This window comes from Homo sapiens, chromosome 22, assembly GCF_000001405.40.
Source record: "Homo sapiens chromosome 22, GRCh38.p14 Primary Assembly".
NCBI classification, from domain to species: domain Eukaryota; kingdom Metazoa; phylum Chordata; class Mammalia; order Primates; family Hominidae; genus Homo; species Homo sapiens.
In genome coordinates this window covers 33,564,317-33,591,617 of record NC_000022.11, presented here as the reverse complement: position 1 = coordinate 33,591,617, position 27,301 = coordinate 33,564,317, and the positions used below count along the sequence as shown (strand labels likewise).

Genomic DNA, 27,301 nt, shown 5'->3' with positions numbered 1-27,301 from the left:
AGAAACTATAAGGATAAGCTACAGACTGAAAGAAAGAATTTGCCAAGCATCTATCTGATGAAAGATTTGTATCTGGGATATATGGAGAGGTCTTACACCAATAATAAGAAAACAACCCAATTTAGAAATGAGCAACATATTTTAAGAGACATGTCAGCCAAGGAGAGATGGAGTGGCCAATGAATCCCTGAAAAATGCAAATCAATAATGACATCATTAGTCATCAGGGAAATGCAAATTAAAGACCATCCTGAGATACCACTTCACACCCACTACAATGGCTAAGATTAAAAGGACTCACAATACAAAGTGTCAGTGAGGATGTGGAACAGCTGCAACTCTCTGACATCACTGATGGAAGTGAAAAATGGTATACCACTTCAGAAAACAGCTTGGTAGCTTTTTTGTTTGTTTGTTTGAGGCAGAGTCTCACTCTTTGCCCAGGCTGGAGTGCAGTGGCCCCATCTTGGCTCACTGCAACCTCCGCCTCGCGGGTTCAAGCGATTCTTCTGCCTCAGCCTCCCGAATAGCTGGAATTACAGGCACCCACCACCACGCCCAGCTAATTTCTGTATTTTTAGTAGAGACGGGGTTTTGCCATATTGGCCCGGCTGATCTCAAACTCCTGACCTCGTGATCCACCCGCCTCAGCCTCCCAAAGTGCTGGGATTACAGGTGTGAGCCACCACGCCCGGCCTTGGCAGCTTTTTAAAATATTAAACATAACTCACAATATGACCTAGTGGTTCCACTCCTAGGTGTTCAACCAAGAGAAATAAAACCTATGTCCACTGGAAAACTTGTATGTGGATATTCGTGGCAGCTTTATTCATAGGACTTCACTGACTGTCAGCTGAAGAACTGGTAAACAGCTGTGGTATGTCTCAGCAGTGGGAAGGAATGAACTGACGGCACATACAGCAATGCCAGTGAGAAGGTTTGATGTTAAGTGAAAGAAAGCCAGACCGAAAGACTGCATGGTAAATGGTTCCATTGATGTGACATTCTTGAAAGCAAGACAGAGTTAATAGGAGCCAGAGGGTGGTGTGGTGGGACTGCCTAGCAAGGGACACCAGGGCATTTTCGAGGGCGATCAAATTGTTTTATAAAGTGACTGCTGTGGTTGTTGCAAACTGTATACATTTATTAAATTGAACTGTACGTTTAAAAGAGGTGAATTGTGATGATGTAAGATTTTTTTCTCGAAGAATGCATAAACATACTATCACAGAAGTAAAATCAAACATCAATTACTTTAATAAACGTAAATGCTTTAAACTCTTCCATTACTGGATAACAACTTTAATTCTTGGTTAAATAGCAATATGGTGTGAGTGTGTTAATTTTAGACTAAATCAAATACAATAAAATATATTTAATTAGGTACAACTAATAATTTTAAATTGGTAAGTTTAATACCCATAAGAGGATAGAATAGCCGAGTTATTTTCCAAGTAGAAAACTTCCAGATATACTAAGCACAAAACAAAAATTGATAGAAATATATGTTGGGAGAGCTTTGGCCACAGAAAAGAAAGATGAATCATCTTGTTAATGACAGAAATGATTTTTAAAACATAATATCAGTAGTTATTGAACTGCCTATCATATGGAATAAAAATGAGTGAAGTGTTCATCAAAAAAATTACACAAATGATAGATACCATAAAAATTACACAGGCCCTACTCTTGACCACAGTGCAGCGGAACTACATATCAGAAACAAACTATTAAATGGGAAATTCAAACTTCTTGGAAACTAGAGGAGGGTAAAGATTCTTCCTAAATGCTATTTAATCCAAAAGGATATAAAAACTAAAATTATAGTCTGTTTTGGTATCAACAGAAGAGGAACATTTCATAGTAAAGTTTATGGAATGTGGCCAAAGCTGTCACTGGAGATATTTTAATAGCCTCCACTTCTTTCATTATTCAAAAACAAAGGTAATGATAAATGAATCTTGCATTTCATGCAGTAATTGAAATATGAACAATGGTGTGTCCCTAAGGAAAGCAGAAGGGAAGTGGAGTTCACAGCAGAATTCTGTGAAGTAAGAAAAATAATAAACAGAAAAGTAAACAAATATTAATTTTCATTAATTTAAATTAATGAAAATATTAATTTTTAATTAATTAATTTCCATATATAAGAAGATGGCAAACCTCTGGTAAATTTAATAAAACAATGGAGGAAATATTAATAAACAGAACAATGAGTAAAGGTATACAACAATATAAATTTGCAAAATGGTAATCAAAATCAATAGCCAACATTTACTTGTCACTTATCATGTATCAGACATAGTACTAAACATTTAGTGTTATCTCATTGAAATCTCATGACAGATCCTTGAAATTAGTGCTGTGATAATCTTTTACAGAGGAGGAACCTGAGAGTAGAGGCAGCTAGACCAAGACTTCTTAGCTGTGGAGTGGTGGAAACAAGAATTGAGCCCTGCAGCCTAGCCGTGGGCCCTAGCCTTTCCTCCTCACTTACTACAGTTGAACTCTATGGGAAATTCCATGCAGATTTATGAAAGCCTGGAGGTGTAATGTTGTGTTTGCCTGGAAGCAGATTTGCATTTATTGCGGCTAGTTGCCTGAGGCCCTGTCAGTCCTAATCACTTTGAATTAAATTCTGCATTTGAGGTCTGTCAGACACCAGATAGCTTGAGTCCAGACAACACACCACTGTGTGATCCATCTTGAGGGTGCTAATTCTCAGGGAAGGCCTCCCACCCCCACTTTAGTAGTCATCCAGATAAAAATCAGTGTGTTTTCTGTTCCTCCCTTCTGTGTGTGGGGGTTTGTTTCTAAATCACCTTTATACTAAGAGTGTAGGATTCGGGTCCTAACTTCATGCAAAGGTTCTCTCTCTGACTCCCTCTTAAGCCAGGCCATGGGCCTCATCTTCTCCCTCCTGCACCCTCACAGCAGTGAAAGCAGAAGGTCAAGAGCCATTCCCCTCAAAGCAATACTGAGTTTCAGGGATTACTTATATTCTAATTTTCCAACTTGGACTTGCTTTTCATTTTTGTATTTTTGCTGTGATGCCAACTTAAGTTTTATATGCGTGCGTGCGCACACACACACACACACACACACACGCACACATATATGTTCCTTGTTAACTTTTCAAAATGTTTTCACTGTGAGGGTTTTGAGGTTGTCTAGTTCACTATGTTACCTGAAATAGGAATCTCCCTTCCTCATCTTTCTTCTAGAGCTCAGTTAGCATCTCAAGGAAAGTGTTCTGGGCCTGGCATTCTGTTCAAATTTGGGTTCCCCTTCTATAGGTTATCTTTCCACCTGTTACTTCATTTTTTATGACATTGATCCTTGTGTACTTATTTGTTAAATACCTTTGATGCATGGGTATTGGTGGATGTATGTCTCACTTGCCACTGCAGTGTGGAGCCTACGTGGATGGACCCCTCGGCTCTTCTTTCTGCTTCCCAATTCTTAGCATGTGCTTGCTCATAGTTGGCTCTAACCAGGTGTTTGAATGAAGAAGTCTTGGTAAGAATTTTGAGGCTGTTTCATTCAGCACGGAGGATTCCCAGTAACGTTATTTTATCTGCCGTGAACATAAAAAGAGAAGGCCGATAACTTAAGTTCTGGGTATCCATGGTCTCTTGCTCAAGAAAGAATTTCCAACCTGTAGAGAATGAATGGATTTTCCAACAAAAGGCATTAATGTGATTGAGGATTTGGGAAGTGATCAAATAAGATATCACCAGATTAAAAAAATAAATTTTGTATTGATTGAAAGCTTGAATTTAAAAACAGAAACATTAAACAAAACTAGAAGAAAAATATGAAAATGTTGGTCTAAGAATGAGGAAGGTTTCTGTGTGCCTAAGGAAAATGAAAAAAAAAAAATCTTAAAGGAAAACTCCAGTAGATTTGATTAATTGCAATGGAAAAAATCAAGGGGAAAATTCTGAATAAACTGAAACAAAATTAAAGGACAAGTAATAAATTGGAAAAATTGTACTTGAAACAGATACAGCATGTAATACATAAGGAGCTGTTGCAGATAAATAGGAAATACAGACTCGCAGAAAAATGGGTAAAGAATAAGAATAAGGGAACTCGCAAAAAAATGCAAATGGTAAAAATATACAAATATATTCAAAGAAAGAAGAAAATAAGATTTTATATAGGAGTCTTTAAAAATTTTTATTACTTATTAATGGGAAGTATCTATGAGGGCCAACCCTTCTTAAATTGTCTATTGTAAGTCAACATCAGAATACCCTTTTTGGATATTTTGGCAATATCAAGATTCTTAAAAATTATATACAGGTTCTGTGAGGCAGAAATTCTTTGCTCCAAGGAAATAAAGGTGGAATCAAAGGATTTTCATCATGGTATTGTTTGTTTGCAATAGTAAATCTTAGACACAACCTAAATCCCAACATTCATGAAAGGTTAGGTAAAGTATGGTACATCGTTGAAATAAGATAGTTGAAGCTTTTCCAAATCATTTTTAAATAACATTTTATTGATTTAATAGCAACGTTGAATGTTGCTTCAATAAGTGGAAAGGGAAATGCTCATGATGTAATATTAAGTTTAAAATAAGACACAAAACTAGTTCTCTTCAAAGTTTAAAGATGTCTGTGTAGTTATATAATTATTTACAAAGGCAGATCATATGACAGTGTTTAATATGTTACCTCTGGGTACATGTATTCTAGTTTTCTCGTTTTCATTGCATTTTGCAGACTTTCTGTAGTAGCACAATTTTTAAAACTATATTTTTCTCTCGACTGTGAAAGGAGCAGAGGGAGGGAAGGAAAGAGAAGGTAATTAATGACTTCACATAGATAATGGGAATAGTAACCTTGTTGTTCTCAGCTGGGCGCGGTGGCTCACGCCTGTAATCCCAGCACTTCGGGAGGCTGAGGCGGACGGATCATGAGGTCAGGAGATCGAGACCATCCTGGCTAACATGGTGAAACCCCATCTCTACTAAAAATACAAAAAATTAGCCAGGCGTGGTGGTGGGCGCCTGTAGTCCCAGCTACTTGGGAGGCTGAGGCAGGAGAATGGCGTGAACCCAGGAGGCGGAGCTTGCCGTGAGCCGAGAGATCGTGCCACTGCACTCCAGCCTGGGCGACAGAGCAAGACTCCGTCTGAAAAAAAAAAAAAAAAAGAAATCTTGTTGTTCTCCCTGTTTGGGGGCAGCATGGCGTATTCACAGGTGTAAGGGTGCAGCATACCATGGGGTTTGGCTCACCTGCATATGACTTGTGACTATCATGGGTGTCATTGTCTCTGTAAGAAGGACTTGCAAGGGATAATCCAGGTAGAAGAGCACCCACAAACTTATAGAGGCTTTGTGTGCATGCGAGCGCCTACCCTTTTTACTTAGGTCATTTTGGAGGTGTCTTTTGGGAACACGTAAAGAGTAACATCAGGTTTTCCAAGCCAGCTGGTTTCCCTGTGCTACGGAAAAAAATGAAAACTCAACTGGCAGTCCATCCATCTTAATCCTGAAGGAACTGGGACCTTCCCCACTTACTTAACTAGGTGACTCAGAAAATCCTAACGTGATCCAACCCAAACTCCAAACTGGCTAACTTAGAAGTAACAGATGAAAAAGAGAGAGTGGGCCGGGTGCAGTGGCTCACACCTGTAATCCCAGCACTTCGGGAGGCCGAGGCAGGTGGATCGTTTGAGGTCGGGAGTTTGAGACCAGCCTGGCCAACATGGTGAAACCCTGTCTCTACTAAAAATACAAAAATTAGCCGGGCGTGGTGAGCATAAAGGAACCTAATGGGGAGAGGTCACGAAAGACTCACTTTACATCCCTTTGTGCAGCTACAGTGATTCCTCCCTGCATTACCTGTGTGATCAGTTTCCTGATCTTTTATGTTGTGATCTAATATATAACCTGAGTAAAGTGCCTTAAACAATCTACTAATTTTGTGTCAAATATCAAGAAGCCCTTCGATTGGCAGTTCCAAGAGTGGTGGTTATTATCTTGGGAATTTTCGTGGGCTCCTCATGGTGGAGGGGTGAGAATAAATCCAGAAATCTGCTGCCTACAGGACTGTAGATGGGAAGAGGGAAGGCAACCTTATTCTCATATGCACTCTGTCTCTCATTACCAAACAGGGAATCTTCTCCCCCAGATTTCCTAGGAGACTTTGCTTCATGTACATTGGCCAAGATGGTGTCTCAGGCCCATGACCTGTCTTCAGGGAAGACTGAAAAAGTGATGATTCTTTGTGTCTTTGCCTGTGTGTGCGTTTCTATGTGTGTCTCAGTGTGTGTGTCTGTGTGTTTTCAGCCTTCTCAGTAGGGAATCTGAAGTGTAGCTCTCTGGATAGGCAACCAAAAGAATCTCCCCCGTCTCCTTTGTAGGTTTGCTGTGAGAAGAAAATGCTTATCTCAGAAGCAGGAATAATTAATGTATATAAGTGAGTTTCTCTCTCCTCTCACACTCCTTTTTCTGTGGTGTTTGTTTGTTTGTTTTGTTTGTTTTTTATTGAGACGAAGTCTTGCTGTGTCACCCAGGCTGGAATGCAGTGGTGCGATCTCGGCTCACTGCAACCTCCACCTCCCAGATTCAAGCTATTCTCATGCCTCAGCCTCTGGAGCAGCTGGGATTACAGGCGCGCATCACCATGCCTGGCTAATTTTTGTATTTTTAGTAGAGACAGGGTTTCACCATGTTGGCCAGGCTGGTCTCAAACTCCCGACCTCAAGTGATCTGCCAGCCTCAGCCTCCCAAAATGCTGGGATTACAGGCGTGAGCCAATGCGCCCAGCCCACTTTCTCTTTTTCATCTGTGACTTCTAAGCCAGTTTGGAGTTTGGGTTGGATCATGTTAGGATTTTCCGAGACACCCAGTACGTATGTGGGGAAAGTCCTGCTTCCTTCAAGATTAAGATGGATGGACTGCCAGCTGAGTTTTCATTTTTTTTTTTTCAGTAGCACAGGGAAACCAGCTGGCTTGGAAAACCTGATGTTAACTCTATTTAATAGGTAGCTGAATTCTCATCTGATTAGGAGGAAACAACTCAGGTCTGTACCTAGATACAAATCAGTCAGTGGATAAGGATTTGCTGAATGCACACTGTTCCAGAATACAGATGAGGAAAAGCTCATGTCTTCTCCAAGAATTTAGTGAAAACTAATGAAATAGGGAAGAGTGTAGTACCAATCAGCTACCAGCTGGATAGTCAGGGATGACTTCACAGAAAAAGGGGAACCCTGAGCCGAGCCTTGGGGGCCACTGTGATTTCCAGGAGTCGGGGGGAAGTGTGGTGTTCCCATGCTAGGTACATCATTGTCGAGAACACAGAAGCTTTGAGGAGGAGGTGAAGAGGAGGCGTAAGAGCATTTTATCTTGCTCTTTGAGTTAATGACAGGCTTTCGTTGCCCAAAGAAGAGAATACTTTTTCCCAAGCAAAACTCCTTTACCTGCTTTTTATCTGCTCAGCTTAGCTATAAAAGTTAATACTCTTATTAAACTTTTTCTATTAGAAAGGAAAGAAATGCACTTCTTTTCTCTGCCTGACACTTCCTTCTCTTTTTCACTTATGAAGGGCATACCTTTTTGATAATTGAGGAAACTAATAAACCAGATCTCAAACTAACATCCAGGACTGGTCAGGATGCCCACAGCGGGGAAAGTTGGGCCAATTTTTATTTCTGAGGTTTCAGTATCAGTATAGTCAGTATGTCCACATTTTGATTAAAAGAAAGCAAATAAATGGAATGCCTATATATGTGTCTTGGAAAGTGCTAAGGGAGCTTCCAAGGTAAAAATAGTAACTATCTATCACAAAGTGTGTTCTTATGGGGGAGATATGTGTGTACTGAAGTGCATTACTGAAGGGATGGACAAGGCGAGGGAAGCACACTTCATACTGGATGGGGGGGACCCAACTGTCCTTATATTTGGAAAATTGAACTTTCATTTTATAGTGTACAGATTCCATTTTAAAATCAATGTCCCTGACCTATTCAGTGGGCTCAGGGGCAGAAGATGGAGCTGAATGGGATAGGCGTTGTTAAATTTCTTTCCGAGGTTCTAATTTTCTTATTTATCGGGTAACTTGCAACAGGTTGCCAGCTATATACCTTGAGAGGCATTGATTGCTACTAAGTCCAAAACCCTGACCTTAAGGTTTTCAAGTCCAGTGACCTAGTGACAATATGGATCCTGAGGGCAGGAATCTTGGTAGATGAGTAGAAAATCAAGAGATAAAATTGATTTATTTTCTCCAGACTTAATATTTTGCCCTGTGATGGTTCTCAAAAAGAAGGTGTTTTGGTGAAAAACTACCTCCATGCACTGCCTTCATCCTGTGGAGGTGACTGCATTGAGAGGCAGATTCATTTTTACAGCTGACTTGACAGGGAGGGTTTGACATGGTGGCTGTGACAGAAAGGTAGATCTGGGATGTGGGGGAGATGGATCATGTCTAGCTCCTAGAATTCTGGAACAAGCTGGTGGGTGCATGGTGGTAGGAAGATGGAGAAAACTGAGGAAGGATTGAGCTTTAGCAGGAAGAGCAAGAGTCCTATTTGTCATCTAGACAGGGTATAATATATGTGACTGGAACTGTCCAAGGTAGACATGTGCTCATACTTAATGTGGTTTGTTTCCCCTGAATAATAACATAGTACAGTATCCGCAGGGGGCACAAATGCCCATTCTTTAAGCATCCTGCAAAGAGGTGTTCCTGGTTGAAAGCACAGCCAGGTACACCTTGGAGCTACTATCTAGCAGAAGGAATTCACTCTCCTCTTCTTTTTGTACAAGACAAGCATGAGGATGCTCTTGACCTAATGAAGTTAACATTTGGGCTCAGATGCCAAGAGTCTGAACTTTGGTGGAAGTATTCAGGGGAATGCTGAGTAACATCAGCTGTCCAGCACCTGGAGCTTGGAGCCCTTGGTTCAGTGTGAAGTTGGGTTTTGGATGAGGCGTACCTGCTGGGTGACCAGGGTGCCTAGGTACAGTGGAAAGGCGTAATCCCTCTTGTTGAGAGAATGGCAGCCAATGGCTAGTTCATTGCCTTCAGCCAAGAGAGATGTCCCTGAATCAGTCACTGGACAATCTTGCTTATCTAAACTTTATATTCTTTCATGTATAAGTCTCATTCAATTCTCTTATATGTAGTGGTTAAAGAGTTGTCACTTTTCTTTCTTTAAGGATTCTGAGGACTTCAAACTCATCTTTTTTTTTTTCCTCTTTCAAGGTCTTTCCTACTTCCAGATAATGCAATGTTTTCCATTAGGTCAAAACTTAGACAAAATGTGTACTCTCCTGTACCAGGACAAAGACTTTTCATCCACATCCATTTTTTTCTGAGTTTCAGCTGGTACTTCTGAGCAAGGTGCCTCAACCTTAGCACTCATGATGTTCTGGGCCAGATAGTTTTTTGTTGCGGGGGCTGTCCTGTCTGAGGATGTTGAGTGGCATTCCTTGCCTCTGCCCCCTGGATCCAGTAGCACCCCAGTGCCCAAGTCATGACAACCAAAAGTGTCTCCAAGTATTGCCAGGGGTCCTTTGGGGGCAAAATTGCCCTTCATATTAGAAACTGACACAATTGGGGTGACCCCACGCTCTAGGCAGGTGCTGACTGTGAAGGTGATGGGATAGAAAATGGAAGTACTAAAGTCAGAGGCCAGTCCAATGGATTTGTGTCATTTTATTCCCAGCCATGTGAAGCTTTAAGATGTATCTATCACTTGGTGACCCCATGGTGATGTCCATTCATTACTCTCTTTCCTCATTTGGGACACTGATGGGTCAGATTCTTTTTTTTTTTTTTTTTTTTGAGACGGAGTTTCACTCTGTCACCCAGACTGGAGTGCAATGGCACAATCTCGGCTCACTGCAACCTCTGCCTCCTGGGTTCAAGCAATTCTCCTGCCTCAGCTTCCTGAGTAGCTGGGATTACAGGCACGTGCCACCACCCCCGGCTAATTTTTGTATTTTTAGTAGAGATGGGGTTTCACCATGTTGGTCAGGCTGGTCTTGAGCTCTTGACCTCGTGATCTGCCCACCTCAGCCTCCCAAAGTGCTGGGATTACAGATTTGAGCCACCGTGCCCAGTCAGATTCTCTCTGTCTTCTAACTGAAGCATGGAAAACAAGCCAGGTCAACAAAATAACTTTATTTATTTCTAAACAAAGTTACTTTGGATAGGAAACTTGGAAACATTTCAAGTTTTCATCCCTGGTTGTACCATTTCACCAAGCTGATTTTAGGAAAAGGTGCACAAAGGTATCAAAATGTGAATTTTCTTGCTGAGAACAGTACGTGATGCTTCACAGTCTCTTAATTCCATCTGTTTCCCATGATAAAGTTCCAGCATTAGGTACTGGTGTTAGAAGGCCCTCCACATTATGACAGTGATTTTCCTGAAGGTCAGAAGGGGCAAATTTTAACTCTCCCACTTACTAGCAGTGCAATTTGAGACAATGATGTTTCTAAGTCTTAGTTTCCTATGTGTAAAATAGAGGTATGAATCCCTTACTTGCTTAATTCACAAACTTATTTCAAGCATCCAATGAAATAATAGATGGAAAATTTCATTGAAAATGAGAAAATGCTGCACATGCATTCTTATTACTTTTGTCATCATCATCATCATTCCTATTATCATTTTTGAAAGATGGACGTCTTACAAACTGACCGGTTATGTATGCTTTTGTATACTCAACTCCCTTGGCTAAAAACTCATCTAACTAGAATATTTTCATTGGATTTAACCACTCAGCCAGGCTGAATTCAAGAACCCCAGTGGGTTTTAAATCTGCTCACTACTGGCTAAATAACATGTTTGAAGAGAAAATAGCAAGCAATGATCAACATCTTATTCAGAGGCATAATAGCACTGCTGAAACTCCCCTTTCTCATCCCCTGTTATTATTAATGTGCTGCTATTACTTATTGTACATTGTGTCCCAGAGTGTGTGTGTTGCCCTTACATTGTATATATACATAAGTCCCACCCTCCAAAACCAGCCGTTATAAAGGAGAGAAAATCACAACTGATGCCATGTGGTAAAGGACTAGCGTCTCGAGCTCACTCACTGTGATCAGGCCTTTATTCCACCTGTCACATAATGAAATATTTCTTCCTTCTTGATTCAGAATGAACCAGCAGCTCGATTCTGTAAGGTCCTCTGCTGGGTATTTTCCTGTACATCATCCCATTTTCAGGCTGACAGAGCAATAGGTGGCCTTGTGTCTGCTTTTTTTTTTTTCTTTTTTTGTGACAGTTTCATTCTTGTTGCCTAGGCTGGAGTGCAGTGGTGCGATCTCGACTCACCGCAACCTCCGCCACCTGGGTTCAAGCGATTCTCCTGCCTCAGCCTCCCAAGTAACTGGGATTACAGGCATGCACCACCATGCCTGGCTAATTTTGTATTTGTAGTAGAGATGGGATTTCTCCGTGTTGGTCAGGGTGGTCTCAAACTCCCGAGCTCAGGTGATCTGCCCCCCTTGGCCTCCCAAAGTGTTGGAATTACAGGCGTGAGCCACTGCGCCCGGCCGCCTTGTGTCTGCTTTACAGATGCAAAACCTGAAATTCAGAGAAGGGAATTGCCACACTCCAGCTTGTATTGAAGACAGTGCTCGTGCCATCATTCCATGTTGCTTCCAGATCAAGGACGCTTAAATATTCCCAGGGGATTAAAAAATATGTATACTATGTAGGAACTCAGCAATTCTGTGCAAACAGAAAATAAAGTTACAGAGCTGTGCTATTAAGTTGGGTCTTGATCTTCCGCAGTTAGAATTAATTGATTGGCTCACTTCCCAATTGTTGTGTACCTCAGGCTTGATTGCACCTAAGAATCACTTGGTACTGTTGGTAACACAAAACAACACCACCAAAACAATGCTAGGGGCCACTCTGGATGACACTTTAGCATGGCTTGTGTTCCAAACCCAAACAAGCAGCAATGCCAGGCCCTACCACTAGATGTCATAGTTTAGTTTTTCTGGGGTAGGCCCAGTAGTGCGCCCATGTAATTCCAAAGTGTGGCCAGCCCTGGGCTGGGGCTGCAGCAGGTCTTTATCAGTGTCCTGAAGGAGGACATCCAGGCTCCACTTGGCTCCTGCTCAGGACCCTCCGTAATGTACAAATGCTAACCGTTAGTTTTAGAAGGCTGAGACTTTCCCTGGCACACTGTATTAGTCCGTTTTCATGGTGCTGATAAAGATATACCCAAGACTGGACAATTTACAAAAGAAAGAGATTTAACTGGACTTAAAATTCCGCGTGGCTGGGGATGCCTCACAATCATGGTGGAAGGCAAGGAGGAGCAAGTCCCATCTTACATGGATGGCAGCAGGCAAAGAGAGAGCTTGTGCAGGGGAACTCCTCTTTTTAAAACCATCAGATCTCATGAGACTTACTCACTGTCACAAGAACAGCACGGGAAAGACTTGCCCCCATGATTCAATTACCTCCCACCAGGTCCCTCCCACAACACCTGGGAATTCAAGATGAGATTTGGGTGGGGACACAGCCAAACCATATCACACACTCTAAAGTACAGAAGTTAAAAATCCATTGTAACAATCTTCCTGGGTCTGGACATATGTTTCCAAGCTTCCCTTCCTGCTTTGTATTTTGGTGTTAACAGCTTTCTCAGTAGAGCGTTACTGGCCACTTGCAGTCCTTTAGAGATTGGAGAAACATTTGTTCTGAGAAGGTGTATGACTCTATTATAACTGCATTGGAATGTTTGTTTCTGCTAACAGTATGAGCTCAATCTAGTAGTCACCTTTGTCTTTCCTGATTTTACTTCCCATTTCTGAGTACAATTAATTTTGCTATGTTCTAAGAATGTTGGTAAGAATTTATATACAGATTTCACTGTGTAATAATCATGTGAGTATCATATTTGAATCCATTTCCAAAAACGATTAAGGTTTTTGGAAAGAGGCAAATCTGATTTTTAATCCCAGCTCCTATAATTCATTATAATTGGGTGATTTCCTTGATGTCTACATCACACACAGTAATAAAGGTTATTGGGTGAATTAAAAGATACTTGTAAATTGCTTTAGTATACTGTCTGTTACATAGTAAGCATTCAACAAATGCGATTGTTATTATAAACATAATAATATTTTCTCCCATTTAATGGTGATCTTCTAAGAAAGAGGAACATTTTTCATTTACTCCTCTTTCCTTAGTATCTAGTACAGAATTTGGCACACACAATGAGTGTTTAGATAAATGACTCACTTTCGGAATTAGGTGATTTTTTTAAAGGGGATTTAGAGCATTAGGAATTCCTTTGATCAGTAGCCAAATCCCCAAGTGGAAGTAAAGGCACAATGGAATTACCTTGTACCTTGTACCGTCTTCTATACTACTTTTTAAGGGTGACATTTTTCCCTTCTGCATTCTCATGTATGATAAATTCTAAATCTAGAAAGGTTAGACAGCCATCCTCACAATCTGGTTGCCTTGACAACCATCATATTAAACAGTAAAGGCCTGTTGTTGGCGGGGGGAGGTGAATGTCAATATTACCACGGTCTAAATCTTCTGAAGCAGGGCTTGAAGGTCAAGGTTAAAAGTATTCAAAATTGCAATAAGACCTTTGGTTAATGTTTGTTAGATGTATTACAAGAGCTGAGTGAAGCCATCATCTTTTCAGGGTGACCAGTGAAGAGATTCATTTTGGCTGTCAGCCAGAAGACATTTGGACTGCCATTGACAAGGTTTTCCTTTTACTACACCAAGAGACTTTTGCCTTCTATGTGTGGTGAAAGAAAACAGTTTTTAAACCAATCAGAAATTAATAAAGGGACAACTCTGGATCATCCTCCTCAACTGTCTTTGCCTGCTTGTAAGTTGCTGTCCGTGTGTTTAAACTCACCTGCAAGGTGTATCTCCGCAGCTAGTAACAGAGATTGTCACAGGCAAGGGTGTCACCTACAAAGTGCTAAAGAGCCCTCTGAAAATGAAAAGCAAAGTGCCTCATTAATGTAGAGCAGTGTGGGGCTTCTTTAATTGCAGCCTATGTGGCTGCCCTTTTTAGATGGCTCCATGGGAAGGCGGAGGTAAGAGTGGAAGAAGGTATGGTTGTGAGAGCGAGAGAAATTGCTCCCCAAATATCCAGATGAACTTGACAACAGAGAAGTGTGTTTTCTGATTCAGCTGCCTTCTGATTAAATTCAGAAAGGCAAGAAAGAACTGTTGGATTCAGCAGAGGCTAAGATCGGGGAGCAGGTTTTTGAGATGTGTATGCGTGTGCTTTTGCATACTTCTCTGTTTTGTGGCTATTTTAGTGTTGTAAGATCCTGGAGGGTGGTGTTTCTTAACCTCTTTTTAAATATTATCACTCCCCTCTCCTATGTGCCTTTTTATACTTTTTATTTCCCTGATTAAACCTCTAACATGAGATTTTAATACCAAACCATTGGAATATCTTATTTTTTTTTGATCCCCACAAGAACCAACTTTTGTGTCTGTTAAGAATGCATGCAGTAGAGTAAATTTATGGTAACAGAAACAAAATCTTTTTTTCCACTTGCGTTTAATAGCAGAGTGATTATCTCTCTTCTTAGCACTTTGAACAGGAATGAAATATAACTAAATACACCACGCATACATAGTCACCTATCTATATCTGTGGGTTCTGTATTCTTGGGTTCAACCCACCAAGACTTGACAGTATTCAGGGGAAAAGAATAGATGGGTTACACCTGAACTGAACATTTATGGATATTTATTTTCTTTTCAGTATGCTCTAAACAATACTGTATAACAGCCATTTACATAGTATTTACATTGCATTAGGTATTAATAAGCACTCTAGGGATGATTTAAAGTATATGGGAGGATATACCTATGTTATATGCAAATACTACACTTATTTACATCAGGGGACTTGTGCACCTGAGGATTTTGGTATCCTTGAGGGTGCTGGAACCAATCCTCCACAGATAGAGAGGGTATGTATACACACACATGTTTATCCATGTGCTTTCGCGGTGATATCTGTATATATGAGCATATTCACATACATAGGAAGACTACAGATAGACAGGTTATGGCATACCCTGATAAAGCACCGTGTCATCTAACTTAAAACTAGAACAATAGCACCAAAGCCACCTGGATATCTTCACCATCCCATGCCCCACCTCCCTCACTCCCACCTCCTGTCAGGGTAAACCACCACCCTGACAGCTGTGACCATCCTTTCTGAAATTATTTGTTATGTCTCCCCAAACTGCACTGTTATTTCCTCAAAGCAATCATCTGGCACAGAGCTTTACACTTAGAAGTCGCTGAAGTGTTGAATGAATGAATGAACGAAGCAGGTGCATCAGTATATCCCCATCAGAAGCAATGGTTCTCAATAAGTGTTTTCTGTGTAAATGCATTGTTTCACTTTTTCAAAACTATTCATTGAGTGCCTTCTATGTGTCAGACACTGTGCTAAGTCTACATACATAAATACATACTGTGCACGGTAATAAGAATTGCAGCTTCTAAAATTATTAAGATCAGGCTACGCAGCAGCTAATGCAATTTTCTCCTCAGTGCATTGAAAAATCTATTAGTGAAGAAGGCAGCTATATTTCAGGAAATTAAGCCACTGTAACAGTCCAGTTCACAAATCAGAATTCCCAGTGCTTTGAAATGCTCCATTTCATAACATAAAGTACTGAAGGATGTTCAGGCAGTCTGTAAATGCTCCAGTGACCAATCCCCTCAAGCTTCGCAAAGCTAAATAGAGGATGCTTCTTGCTGGGCGATGAGAGAGGAAGGGGTTTTGTGCCACCGATAGGAGGAGGGACGTGTCTGTAGATCCACGATCACATTCCCCTTGGTTCACTTCTCCTTTGTCATCATTCTGGAATTATTTATGTTTGCAGAAGATGGTTGCTTAGTAGACTTCTGAATAATGAGCATTTTTAGGTGCAAGCCAGCTAATCTTATTTTGGGCTAGGGTTGTATGTCTGAATAAATGTTCATTGATGCTTACGGGAGATTGCTGTCACCTGCAAAGACCAGCTTCCAGGCTCTCTCAACATTTCCTTCTAAGTTGCTAATATAAGAAGGCATGAAATATGTAATTCAGTTCTCCTGTTGATGCTGGTTACTAAGAATTTTGCTGTAGCTGACCTAGAGCTGCTTGTATTTAAACAGGACTTCTAAATTTAAAAAGAAGTACAGCCAAGAAGCCTTCCTGGCCTCACTGTCATAAACTGCCTATGAGGTATAGAGATAGCTAAAGAACTCCTGATCTTACATCAACACTTCCTTTTATTAATATTTGAGAAAGGTCTTCTCTCCCCATAAATCCAACAAAGTATTAGTTTCAGGTGGGGCACTTAAGCTTGGGGCTATCTTATGACTTGTTTCTGAACAATAAGTTGGTTGTTGATCCAGTGTAAATGATTCAGCCAAGAAGACCTTGAGAAATAGCATTTTCTGTCTCCTAACTTGGTGTTTCTTAGAGGGTAATCTATGGAGACTTGCTTTTGAATCACCCGGGGTGCTGGTTTTAAAATACGGATTTCTAGGCCCTACCACAAATCTAATGAATTGTAACCTCTCAATAGGATCCTGGGAATCTAGATTTTCACCAGGCTTCCTCCAAGGTTCTGATGCCTCTCAGCTGCCTTCTGTTAATCTTTCCTCCATAAATCATTAGAGTATATTCCAAAAATATAGATGAGATCACATCTCTTAGCTCATGAAACCCCTTTTGTTTTTCCCACTGTCTCTGGGATATTATCCAGTGCTCTTTTGTATGGCATATGGTCCTGGTCTTCTCCAACATTTGATCCTGTCCTACCTTTCCATATCCATCTCTATCATTTTCAACTCTAAGCTTTTTCATTAAGTGTATCAGACTATAGTTATTTTACACACACACACACACACACACACACACACACACACACACACACACACACAATTGTTTATATCTCTGTGCCTTCGTTGTCCTATCATGCTTTTCTCCCAATATTTGAGAATCTCAATTTTCAACCCATTTTTCAAGACCAAATTTAAGGTTTATTTCCTCCAGACATCTCTATCTGATTGTTGTCCCTCCTTTCTTATCACTCCCCTTTAATTGTCCTTCTACTGGACCACTGCTATACGTATCTCAAACAACCAAGGGCTGAAAACACTTGAAAAAAAAATAGATGGTTGCATCTATATTGAACATGTACAGAGTTTTTTCTTGTCATTCCCAAAACAATACAGTATAACAACTGTTTACATAATTTTTACATTTTATTAGGTGTTATAAGTAATCTAGAGATGATTTAAAGTATACAGGAGGATGTGCATAGGTTATATGCAATAGGGCACCATTTTATATCAGAGACTTGAGCATCTTTGGATTTTGATCTCCAAAAGGGGTCATGTAACTAATAACCCACAGACTCCAAGGATGGCTGTACTTGGAATTTATCACAGTCCAGTTCATAACATTCTATAATTACAGATGTGGTAGCCAGTTTCCAAGATGGCACCCAGTAATTCCCACCTCCTAGCATTCATTCACTCCCATGTCTAGTCCCTTCCCACATTGCATAAACTTACCTATATAACCAATAAGATGTTGCAGGAATGATGCCATGTTACTTCTGAGGCCAAGTTTTCAAGATAACCTTGCCTCCACCTTGCTGTCTTTGGGACCACTCACTTTGGGGGAAGCCAGCATGTTGTAAAGACTCTCAAGCAGACTTCTGGAGTGGCAAAAACGTGAGCCTTCTTATTGATAGCTGGCATCAACTGCCGGGCATGTATGTGGGAGCCAGCATAGAATTAGATCTTACATCCCAGAGCAAGTATTCAGATGACTGCAACCTCATGAGGAATCCTAAGAACCACCCAGCGAATATACTCTGAGATTCCTGACACACAGAAACCATTTGAGTTAATAAATAACTGGTGCTGTTTTAAGCTGCTGCATTTTGAGGTAACTTGTGCAGTCATGGATACTGAATATCCACTAGACCATGGACTCCTTGAGAACGTCAGCCATGTTTCCTTCATCATGGACCCTGGTCCCTCGCCCTCCTCAGTACCTGCCCCATATTAAGGTGTTCCATAAATGTCTCATTAAATGATCTCAACTGAGCTAAACTGGAGTTTCTCTGTGCTGCCAAGGGTGAATACTCACAAATGCAGATGACTTTTTTTGTTTTGTTTTGAGCAGAGTCTCGCTTTGTTGCCCAGGCTGGAGTGCAGTGGCTCGATCTCGGCTCACTGCAACCCCCACCTCCTGGGTTCAAGTGGTTCTACTGCCTCAGCCTCCCGAGTAGCTGGGATTACATGCGCACACCACCACGCCCGGCTAATTTTTGTATTTTTAGTGGAGATGGTTTTTCACCATGTTGGCCAGGCTGGTCTTGAACTCCTGACCTCAGGTGGTCCATCCGCCTCGGCCTACCAAAGTGCTGGGATTACAGGCGTGCAACAGCAGGTGCCTTTAATAGATGTGAATATTGTCTTTTGCTCTTAGTATCATCAGTCATAATATTAACAGTTAACAATATCCATTGCTTAGATATAGCACCAGAATTTTCACAATCCCATGGAGTATGTGCTGTAAGTAGCCCCAATTTACTGATGAAAACTGAGGTACATAGAGGTTTAACTGCTTGCCCAGAATGACTCAGATAGTGAATGATGGAGCCAGTATTCAAACCCAGTCAGTCAGTCTCCAGACTATGTGTTGTTAACCATTTTATTTTATTTTTATGTATTTAATTTTTTTTGAGACAAAGTCTCACTCTGTCGCCCAGGCTGGAGTGTAGTGGCACGATCTTGGCTCACTGCAACCTCCACCTCCCGGGCTCAAGGGATTCTCCTGACTCAGTCTCCCAAGTAGCTGGGATTACAGGCATGCGCCACCATGCCTGGCTAATTTTTGCATTTTTAGTAGAGATGGGGTTGTACCATGTTGGCTGGTCTTGAACTCCTGACCTCAAGTGATCCGCCCACCTTGGCCTCCCAAAGTGCTGGGATTAATGGCATGTGTCATTTTAAACACTCATATCGAGCCCTGATGTGGCAAGCATTGTGCTAGGCACTTTGACTCTCCTACCTCATTTAATGCTTTTTCAAACCTCATGCAATGTGTATTGTTTTCTCTATTTTATGGGTGGGGAGCTTGAGACTTAGAGAGGTGACTTTGCCAGGCTGGTTGTGGTAGAGTCAGGATTCAGAATTGGGCCAGCCAGACTCCAAAGCTCGTGCTCATTTCACGATCTTCTTCCAAGGCATCTGCCAGTGTCTCTGTCCCAGCATCTCAAGCCCCGCCCCACTTCTGTTTCTTAACAATTATACTCTGAACATATAGGTTGGTTGCCAAGACAACCACTCAGAAACAACATGAAAGGCAAATGACTTTTCAAACATTCTGCAGCTGGGATGACTTCTTTTTTTAATTTTTTAAAATATGTCAAGGTGATTTGTAATCCACAGCAAAATGTTAATATGGGTAAGCAATCTATTTTGAGCAAAAAATATTTCCAGTATGGCAGAGGAGAGCTTACAGATTACATATATAGTAACGCCTTAGGAAGGAAGCAGGATATACTACTATTACCCTTTTTACAGGTGAGAAAATTAAGGCCTGGAGAGATTTGGAAGCCAGGAATGCCCAGCTCTAAAGACATTGTACCTAATTGTTTGAAAAACTGCTTGGAGAATGAAAATGTGTCTGGAGGGAGGCAGAGGCTCAGTCCTGACCCTGCAGTAAATCAGAAGAGTGAAGAGCACATTGAATAAGCCAGGTCCAGTGGGAAGGGAGGGAAAGAGAGAAACACATCAGTTCAGAGTAGAGTATCTAGGACTGGGGGACTGAAAGTTGAGGTAAGGAAAAGGACCACCAAACTTTGGGTACTAAATAATAGACAACCCTTAATCTTGGTAGGAGGAGTTTCAATAGGTCAGCCCATATAAAGGTCTTGCCACAATGCCTGACACCCAGCACGTGCTAGGCATATTTTCTATTATTATCTTTACTGGGGTATCTCAATGACTCCTGGAAATCCACATCTTGGAGAAGGAGTGAGCATCATTTCCTGACAAAACCAGTCTCTTTTCCTGTTTTTCCCTTATTTATCAAAGGTCAGAAATGTGTCATCACCATTGAGACATGGCTTTCCTCCATCCCCTGTGTTTTGGGCAGTCACCTGTAGAGGTGAGGTGTGTCCACTGTCCAGCTCTCTGCCTCCATGCTCATACTGCTAATCTGGTCAACTTCTCTGTGGACCACCTGGCATCAGATATACCCTAGAATCACTTACACCGCCTCATAGATGCTCCCCTTTGGGTCTGCCTGGTAATTGGCAGCTTCTTCAAGAAGGCAGATTTCCCTTTGAGAGCATCCCCAACCCCCCAGTTTACATAAAACCCTTAAAACCTGGGGTTGCCTGTGCTCCCTTTACATAAGTGAATTAGGTGATAATCTTGGGCATGACTGCATTTTTGCTGATTGAAGTTTAGACCATGCTGCTTAGAATTATTAACAGCCATTGCAAGGATAATGATCTGCCCATTAAAATAAACTAACTCTCATTTTTATTATCATTTTAATTACACGAACCCTTTGGCGTGTTGATAGTGATGAACAACATGGTGGGATATTACTCTGCCAGGTGTTGACTTCTCTATGGGGTGCTCTCGGGAAAATTTGCCTGGTGCCCTCCAGGTTTCCTCAGCCTGCCTTCGAGGGTGCTCTTCTCTCCATTGACCCCATGATGTAAGAAGTTCCTGGTTGGACTGAAGTGTGTTGCGGCATGGAAATGAGATTAATACCAGTGTGGATTGCATGGAGAGACTGCCCCAAAAGGTTGCATGGCTAATCACTCCCACGCACTTTTCCTCCTCCTCAAACCCAAAGTGTGCTGTCCAGTTTTGGAGATCTACCAGAGGGAGGGACTTTGCATTTTCCAGATTTCAGCTTGTGATTTTTTTTTTTTTTTTTTTTTTTTGAAATGGAGTCTCGCTCCATTGCCAGGCTGGAGTGCAGTGGTGCTACCTTGGCTCACTGCAACCTCTCCCTCCTGGGTTCAAGCGATTCTCCTGCCTCAGCCTCCCGAGTAGCTGGGACTGCAGGAGCACGTCACCATGCCCAACTAATTTTTGTATTTTTAGTAGAGACAGGGTTTCACCATGTTGGCCAGGGTGGTCTCGATATCTTGACCTCATGATCCGCCTGCCTCATTTTTTACAGAAACATAGGACAAGGTGACAAGTGACTTATTTCCCCTGACAAAACCATCTGCATTCCTGACTTCCCCTTTACTTTCAAAGGTACCAGAATTTGCTGCTTTTATCATGCCCCAAATTCTGAGTCATCTGAACTTCGGTATTGCTGACAGGCATTCACTGAGAGGAGAAGTGGGCTTAGAGGAGACCTGTTGCTTGCCCCGCATGAGGCTGGATGCTGTGCCTTCTCCTGTGAATACTATAACATTGTAGGCCCCCATTTTCCAGATGAGAAAACTAAGACTCAAGGAGGTTAAGTGAGTTACCTGAGGTCACACAGCTCATTAAAAGTAGAACCAGTTCTATAGCCCAGGCTTCAGGGCTCAACAAACTATGCCTCTTCTGTTGTTCTGTCCTGACCCTGGATTTTAGCAATCATGAACACTTCTGCTCCTAGGTGAGGAAAATATCAGAGAAAAATGAACTCAGGCCTGGCTGACTCCGTAGTCATGCACATTCATCAAACAGTTTTTGAATAATTACTGTGTTGTTACCACAGTCAAAAAGACATCGTCCCTGCCTCAAGGAGTTTCAGTCAAGTGCAGGAGAGGGGCATGGAAAATTGAACCCAGCAGGATAACATGCTGTGCTGGAGGAAGGGAAACAGCTTGCTTCTTGCTTTGGGAGCCCCTAATCCAGCCTGGGGCTGTGGGGGTGGGGGTGGCTGGAAGGCAGTGATTTCTAAGTTGAGACTTGAAAGAGGGGGAGAATGTGGATGGAGGTGGGGGAAGAGTGCTAGATATCATGCCGTCTCTAAGAGGGTGAGCTATTTGTAATAAATGTACCTGCTTCTTACCACTTGTTCTTTCCCCACCACCAAATTTCTTAATTTTCCACCTTTTCCTGGGGCTTTCTTTCTGAATACAAACTCATCCCATTGCCTCCTTTACAACTAATTGAACACTTGGACTTAATTGATTATGTATTAAGTTGGGGACTTGGAGTGACATTCAGGACTGGGCTCATGTTGAGATTAATTTATTCCTGTAGTCTTCCTGTTTTGCAGTGTAACTGAGTGCCTCACATGTGTGTTAAAAATAAAACGGAGAGTCAGGGCAATCTAATTAGACAGCTTAACCCATCACTCTCGTGTTCAGTCTTCACCCAGCTCTCCTGCTTTGATGGTAACCAAAATAGATGAATAAGTTAATCAAAGGTCTGATTAAATAGCACAGCTCTGCAGCATGGACTAATGATTGCCAAGCCTCAGTTCAGGCAGATTGCTAGAGGAGAGAGGAAGCTGAGCTGAGCTCCAAAGGCCAGGGCTTTCATGAGGAAGATGTTTATAAAGCACATGGGAGGGAATTCCTCACTGAGTCCTCGGATCTTAACGGTGATGGCTCACTCTAAAGGAAGGATAATGTAGTTTGGGGAAAGAACACAAACCTTCTCCTGGCAAATTCTGACTCTTAGAGCTTTGCATCTTGCTGGCTGTGGGATTGTAGACAAATCGCCCGCCTTCCTATGCCTGCCTGCCATCCATCATCCATCCATCCATCCATCCATCCATGCATTCATCCATCCATCCATCCATCTGTTCCAGATATGTGTTTTGTACCTATTATATACAAGGCATTGTGCTTATTTTTTTTTTTTTTTTTTTGAGACTGAGTTTCGCTTTTGTTGCCCAGGCTGGAGTGCAATGGTGCGATCTCTGCTCACCGCAACTTCCGCTTCCTAGGTTCAAGTGATTCTCCTGCCTCAGCCTCCCGAGTAGCTGGGATTACAGACATGCACCACCACACCCGGCTAATTTTGTATTTTTAGTAGAGATGGCATTTCTCCCTGTTGTTCAGGCTGGTCTCGAACTCCCAACCTCAGGGGATCCGCCCACCTCAGCCTCCTAAAGTTCTGGGATTACAGGCGTGAGCCACTGCGCCCAGCCAGGGCATTGTGCTTTGATTTTGTTGTTGTTCATTTAATTTGCCCTTGTGTTAACTGTATGACTCGGTTGTGTGAGGTTTTTCCTTCTAGGTCCTCTCTTGCCGTAACCCTCACTTTATGCTCCATGAGGCTGATGCATAAAGCATCTCTAGTCTCGCTTTCGCTCTGGTTTCCGTTAGGGTTGACTGGAGGGCTGCCCTCCCGGGAGACTGGTGGGCAGGAGGGAAGTGAGGTTGAGATGTTTTTTCCTGTTCTGGCTTATGCGTTGCCACAGGTAGGCTGTGTCCCTCTGCTGAAGGTCACTGCCTCAGCCAGGTGGCCTTACTCAAACAGCAATTCTCTCTGGATTCCAGCATCTGCTGGCCTGGGCCCTTTTGGCCTTGGGGTGGTAATGGCCCCAAGTACTCTTCCCCTCCTCAAGTAACTGCACGGTTCTTGTTACTGCCCCTAATTCTGCATATACTTAGATTAAATAGTCCTTTTATTAAATCTTCCTTAGATTCCCCAGGAGAGTGTGCTGTTTCCACCCACACACTGCCTGATAGGATGAAGTAAGTGTAGCAACATGGATGGAGCTGGAGGCCATTATCCTAAGTGAACTAACTCAGAAGCAGAAAATCAAATATCACATGTTCTCACTTACAGATGGAAGCTAAACAACGGGCATACCTGGATACAAAGCTGGAAATAATAGACACTGGGGTCTCCAAAAGAGGGGAGGGTGAGAGCTGTGTGAGGGGTGAGAAATTGCCTGCTGGATACAGTGTTCAACATTCAGGTGACAGGTATACTGGAAGTCCAGTCTCCACCATTACACAGTGTACCCATGTAACAAAAATGCGTGTGTACCCCCAGAATCTAAAATTAAAAATTTTTTAAAAAAGAAATCATGACCTTTATAAATAGCAGAAACTCAGAAAAGCTGAGCAAACCTGTCCAAGGTGACATGGCGATTAAGTGATGATACTAGAATCTAAATCCAGGCATGCCTGAATCTACCACCCAGGGTGTTTTGCTCTCCTGCATACATCCCACAGACCCTTACCTTCATCTGGAAGCACCAAAAGAGGCACTGATAGCTAAATACATGGAATAAGATAGAGGGATCAGGAAGAAGGGCGGGAGCTTATTACTGAGTATATTTTGTGTACCACGCCCTTGAGTCCTTTAATATAATTTAATTTTTATACCACTGTGTGAAGTAGGCATCGTCTCCATTTTACCAACTTTTAAAAATGAGCAACTACTCTTAAAAAAAAACTAAGTAACCACATTTTTTTCTAACATCATAGTCTAGTGATGGTGGCACACAGGAGGCCAATTTAGGGCAGCTATGAGACAGGTTCCCCATGCTGACTCATGAGACCCATTCCATCTCTGAAACACACTCCATTTTACAGGTAAAGAAACCAAGGCTTAGAGAGATCAAATGCTTTGTGTGGGGCTAGAGCCCAGATTTGAACTTCTGTCCTTTTTCCCCACCTCCATGATGCCTGGGTGTAGGGTGACAGGGACTCATACACAGAGTTGGGGATGCTTTTTTTGAAATTGATGAGAGGTGAAGCCAGCTGGACTTCCTGGGTCAAATGGGGACTTGGAGAACTTTTATGTCTAGCGAAAGGATTGTAAATGCATCAGTTAGCACTCTGTAAAAATGTACCATCAGTGCTCTGTGTCTAGCTAAAGGATTGTAAACACACACCAATCAGCACTTTATAAAATGGACCAATCAGCACTCTGTAAAATGACCAATCAGTGCTCTGTAAAATGGACCAATCAGCAGGATGTGGGCAGGGAGAAATAAGGGAATAAAAGCTGGCCACCCCAGCCAGCAGCGGCATCCCTCTCGGCTTCCCTTCCAAGCTGTGGAAGCTTTGTTCTTTCGCTCTTCACAGTAAATCTTGCTGCTGCTCACTCTTTGGGTCTGCGCCACCTTTAAGAGCTGTGATACTCACCACAAAGGTCCACAGCTTCACTCTTGAAGTCAGCGAGACCAAGAACCCCCCGGAAGGAGCCAGCTCCGCACACAGTTTGATGTCTTGCTGCTATTTTTTTCTTCCTTTGCATAGATTTGGGTGAATGTGTTTCATTTGGTTTGATTACACGTAGTTGTTTTTAAGTAAAAGCAGTTTTAAAGCTTGCTTTTTTCCCCTTTAACATCATATGCAGGTTTTTAGAAATTATATCTTGATCCACATTGTTTTAAACAATTACATAGTATGCTATCAGAAAAACAAGAGTATCATGTTTGAATTAATTGTTCCATTTTGGGGCATTTTGATGGCTGTTCTTTGGTAACATGGTGATGAACATCTTTGGGAATAAAACTTTGGTGTCTAAAACAAAATTTTTAAATTTGAATTTTTTTAAGAACATCTCCTCAACATGGTATTTGTAAGGTCAAAGGAGATCAATATTTTTTGGAATCCTGAGAAGGTGGCCATGTTCCCTGTTTTAAAGGGTTCTATTAAAAGTGTTACCCTCTTGAAAATAAGTGTGCTTTGGCTCCCATGGAAACTCCCCATGGCAGCTAGGTTGGGGCCTCTGCCCACAGTGATCTTCATAAATGACTGTGCATAGATGAGAGCTTTCATCACACTGGTGCTTTTATTTTTATCCTTGCCTTTGGACACAAAATGGCACCCGTGTGTGTACCTCGCTGATGACTCTGCCCACCTGCAAGCCATTGATTGTTCCATTATGTTATGTGAGGATCATAATGTCAGTGCTCCATGGGTGGTTCATTTCTGTCCTATGTGTGTGTCCTCTATTGCTGTCAGGTGAAGAGTGTCGCGTGATGACTAGGTCCTCCTTGACTAGGAGGTGAAGAGTGTCACGTGATGACTAGGTCCTCCTTCTGTCCTATGTGTGTGTCCTCTATTGCTGTCAGGTGAAGAGTGTCGCGTGATGACTAGGTCCTCTTATTTATCTGAGAATAAAGAGAAGGCAGCAGTAGTAATCTATTCAATTACAGTTTTAAAAGAATAAGCATAAGCTTTAACAATACTACTGCCCACTAATCTTTAATGACACGTAAATGGAATATGATTTAAAGAAATATACGTACATAGGAACAATTTGATACTGGTTGCAAAAGTATTTGTAGTGGGATTCAATTTTTGGACCTTTATGTTTTTGCATATCCTTTTTTTCTCTAGTGGATCTATTTAATTTCTATAATAACAAAAGTTTTATTTAAAAATCTCAACATAGGATTTGCAGTAATAATTATTTCATAACTATTACTTTTCCTCTCCCTTAATTCAGATACATTTTCCTCCAGAAAACTTCACATGTCAAAATGCAAATTATATAAATCTTTAAAAGAAAACTCATTCATTTATTCAACAAATTTTTATTGGATACTTTTTGTGTGCTAGGCACTATTTATAATGTTTAAGCAAAGAATTAATATAGCAATTTTTTTTCCCTTTCTCCAACTCTCTCTCTGCCTTGTTCTGTCTAGTCTGAAGTTTCCTGGATCCCCAATAAACATTACTCTGGGATTTATGGTCTGATGAAGCTTGTCCTGACCAAGACTCTTCCTGCCAACCTGGAGAGAGTCATCGTCCTTGACACGGATATCACCTTTGCCACTGACATTGCAGAGCTGTGGGCTGTGTTCCACAAGTTCAAAGGTAATGGTAGCCCATTCGTTTTTTCCCCGATATCCTTGTAGGTATCAGCATGCCAAGAATAGGGGTTGACTTTTTTAAAAAGGTGAGGTCTCCTCGAATGAGGTCGTGCTAATGCAGTGGGTGAGGAATTACAAATATGGTTCAATATCAACTCTGCTTGGATTTGAAAAATAATAGAGTAAAACAGAAACTTGTTTACATGTCTTTAGTAAATGAAGATGTTTTTAACAGATAAATATCAAATGTGTGTATTTTGTATGCAGATAGCGGAGTGTTCACATACTGGTCGGGACGTGTGTTCATTGGTTTTCTTTTTATCGAAGGATAGTCTAATTGCCAAGAAAGCCTGTGAGGTAGTAGAGATGAGTATTGATTCTAGAGTTTTTGAAAATGTTCATATGGCTTTTGCTTTCATTAACGTTGTGGTTTATCATTTTAAGGAGATGTATGTATTTGGCTTTCTTTACAAGACGTTCTTTCTAGTCTGGTGGGTTTCTTTATAGCTATTATTGTAACTCTCGTCACGGCCTC

General features: G+C 41.6%; 1 protein-coding gene and 1 long non-coding RNA gene across 27 annotated transcripts in view, besides 3 other annotated features; one reads left to right on the top strand and one right to left on the bottom strand.

The window, feature by feature from the left end:
- The window catches only part of LARGE1 (LARGE xylosyl- and glucuronyltransferase 1), an 856,162-nt gene that overhangs the window by 331,207 nt on the left and 497,654 nt on the right, over positions 1 to 27,301 (top strand). For 22 of the 26 annotated variants that reach the window (XR_007067993.1, XR_002958722.2, XR_007067994.1 and 19 more), the window contains one exon: positions 26,599 to 26,770. Coding sequence is in view for 23 of the 26 variants with exons in the window: in XM_024452302.2 (XP_024308070.1) it covers positions 26,599 to 26,770 (172 nt within the window). In the remaining 3 variants the exon portion in view is untranslated. Of the gene's footprint in view, positions 1 to 7,038; positions 13,846 to 19,355; positions 19,474 to 26,598; positions 26,771 to 27,301 lie in introns of those variants that run through there. The other 4 variants (XM_047441606.1, NM_001378631.1, NM_001378630.1 and 1 more) reach the window with 2 other exon arrangements.
- LOC105373007 (uncharacterized) lies at positions 2,554 to 17,839 on the bottom strand. Its single transcript, XR_938183.3, has 3 exons — positions 17,568 to 17,839; positions 4,683 to 4,775; positions 2,554 to 3,577 (listed from the first exon to the last, which is right to left on the bottom strand). It is a non-coding gene; the product is annotated as an uncharacterized LOC105373007 (long non-coding RNA).
- Positions 11,887 to 11,956: a silencer, noted in NCBI's record as "silent region_13645". NCBI's record gives its function as "represses an Ori minimal core promoter by ATAC-STARR-seq in GM12878 lymphoblastoid cells {active_cell/tissue: GM12878}" and the evidence as "EXISTENCE:reporter gene assay evidence [ECO:0000049][PMID:35858748]".
- Positions 21,681 to 21,975: a silencer, noted in NCBI's record as "tiled region #960; K562 Repressive non-DNase unmatched - State 24:Quies". NCBI's record gives its function as "represses a minimal TATA promoter and a strong SV40 promoter by Sharpr-MPRA in K562 cells {active_cell/tissue: K562}" and the evidence as "EXISTENCE:reporter gene assay evidence [ECO:0000049][PMID:27701403]".
- Positions 25,589 to 25,658: an enhancer, noted in NCBI's record as "active region_18885". NCBI's record gives its function as "activates an Ori minimal core promoter by ATAC-STARR-seq in GM12878 lymphoblastoid cells {active_cell/tissue: GM12878}" and the evidence as "EXISTENCE:reporter gene assay evidence [ECO:0000049][PMID:35858748]".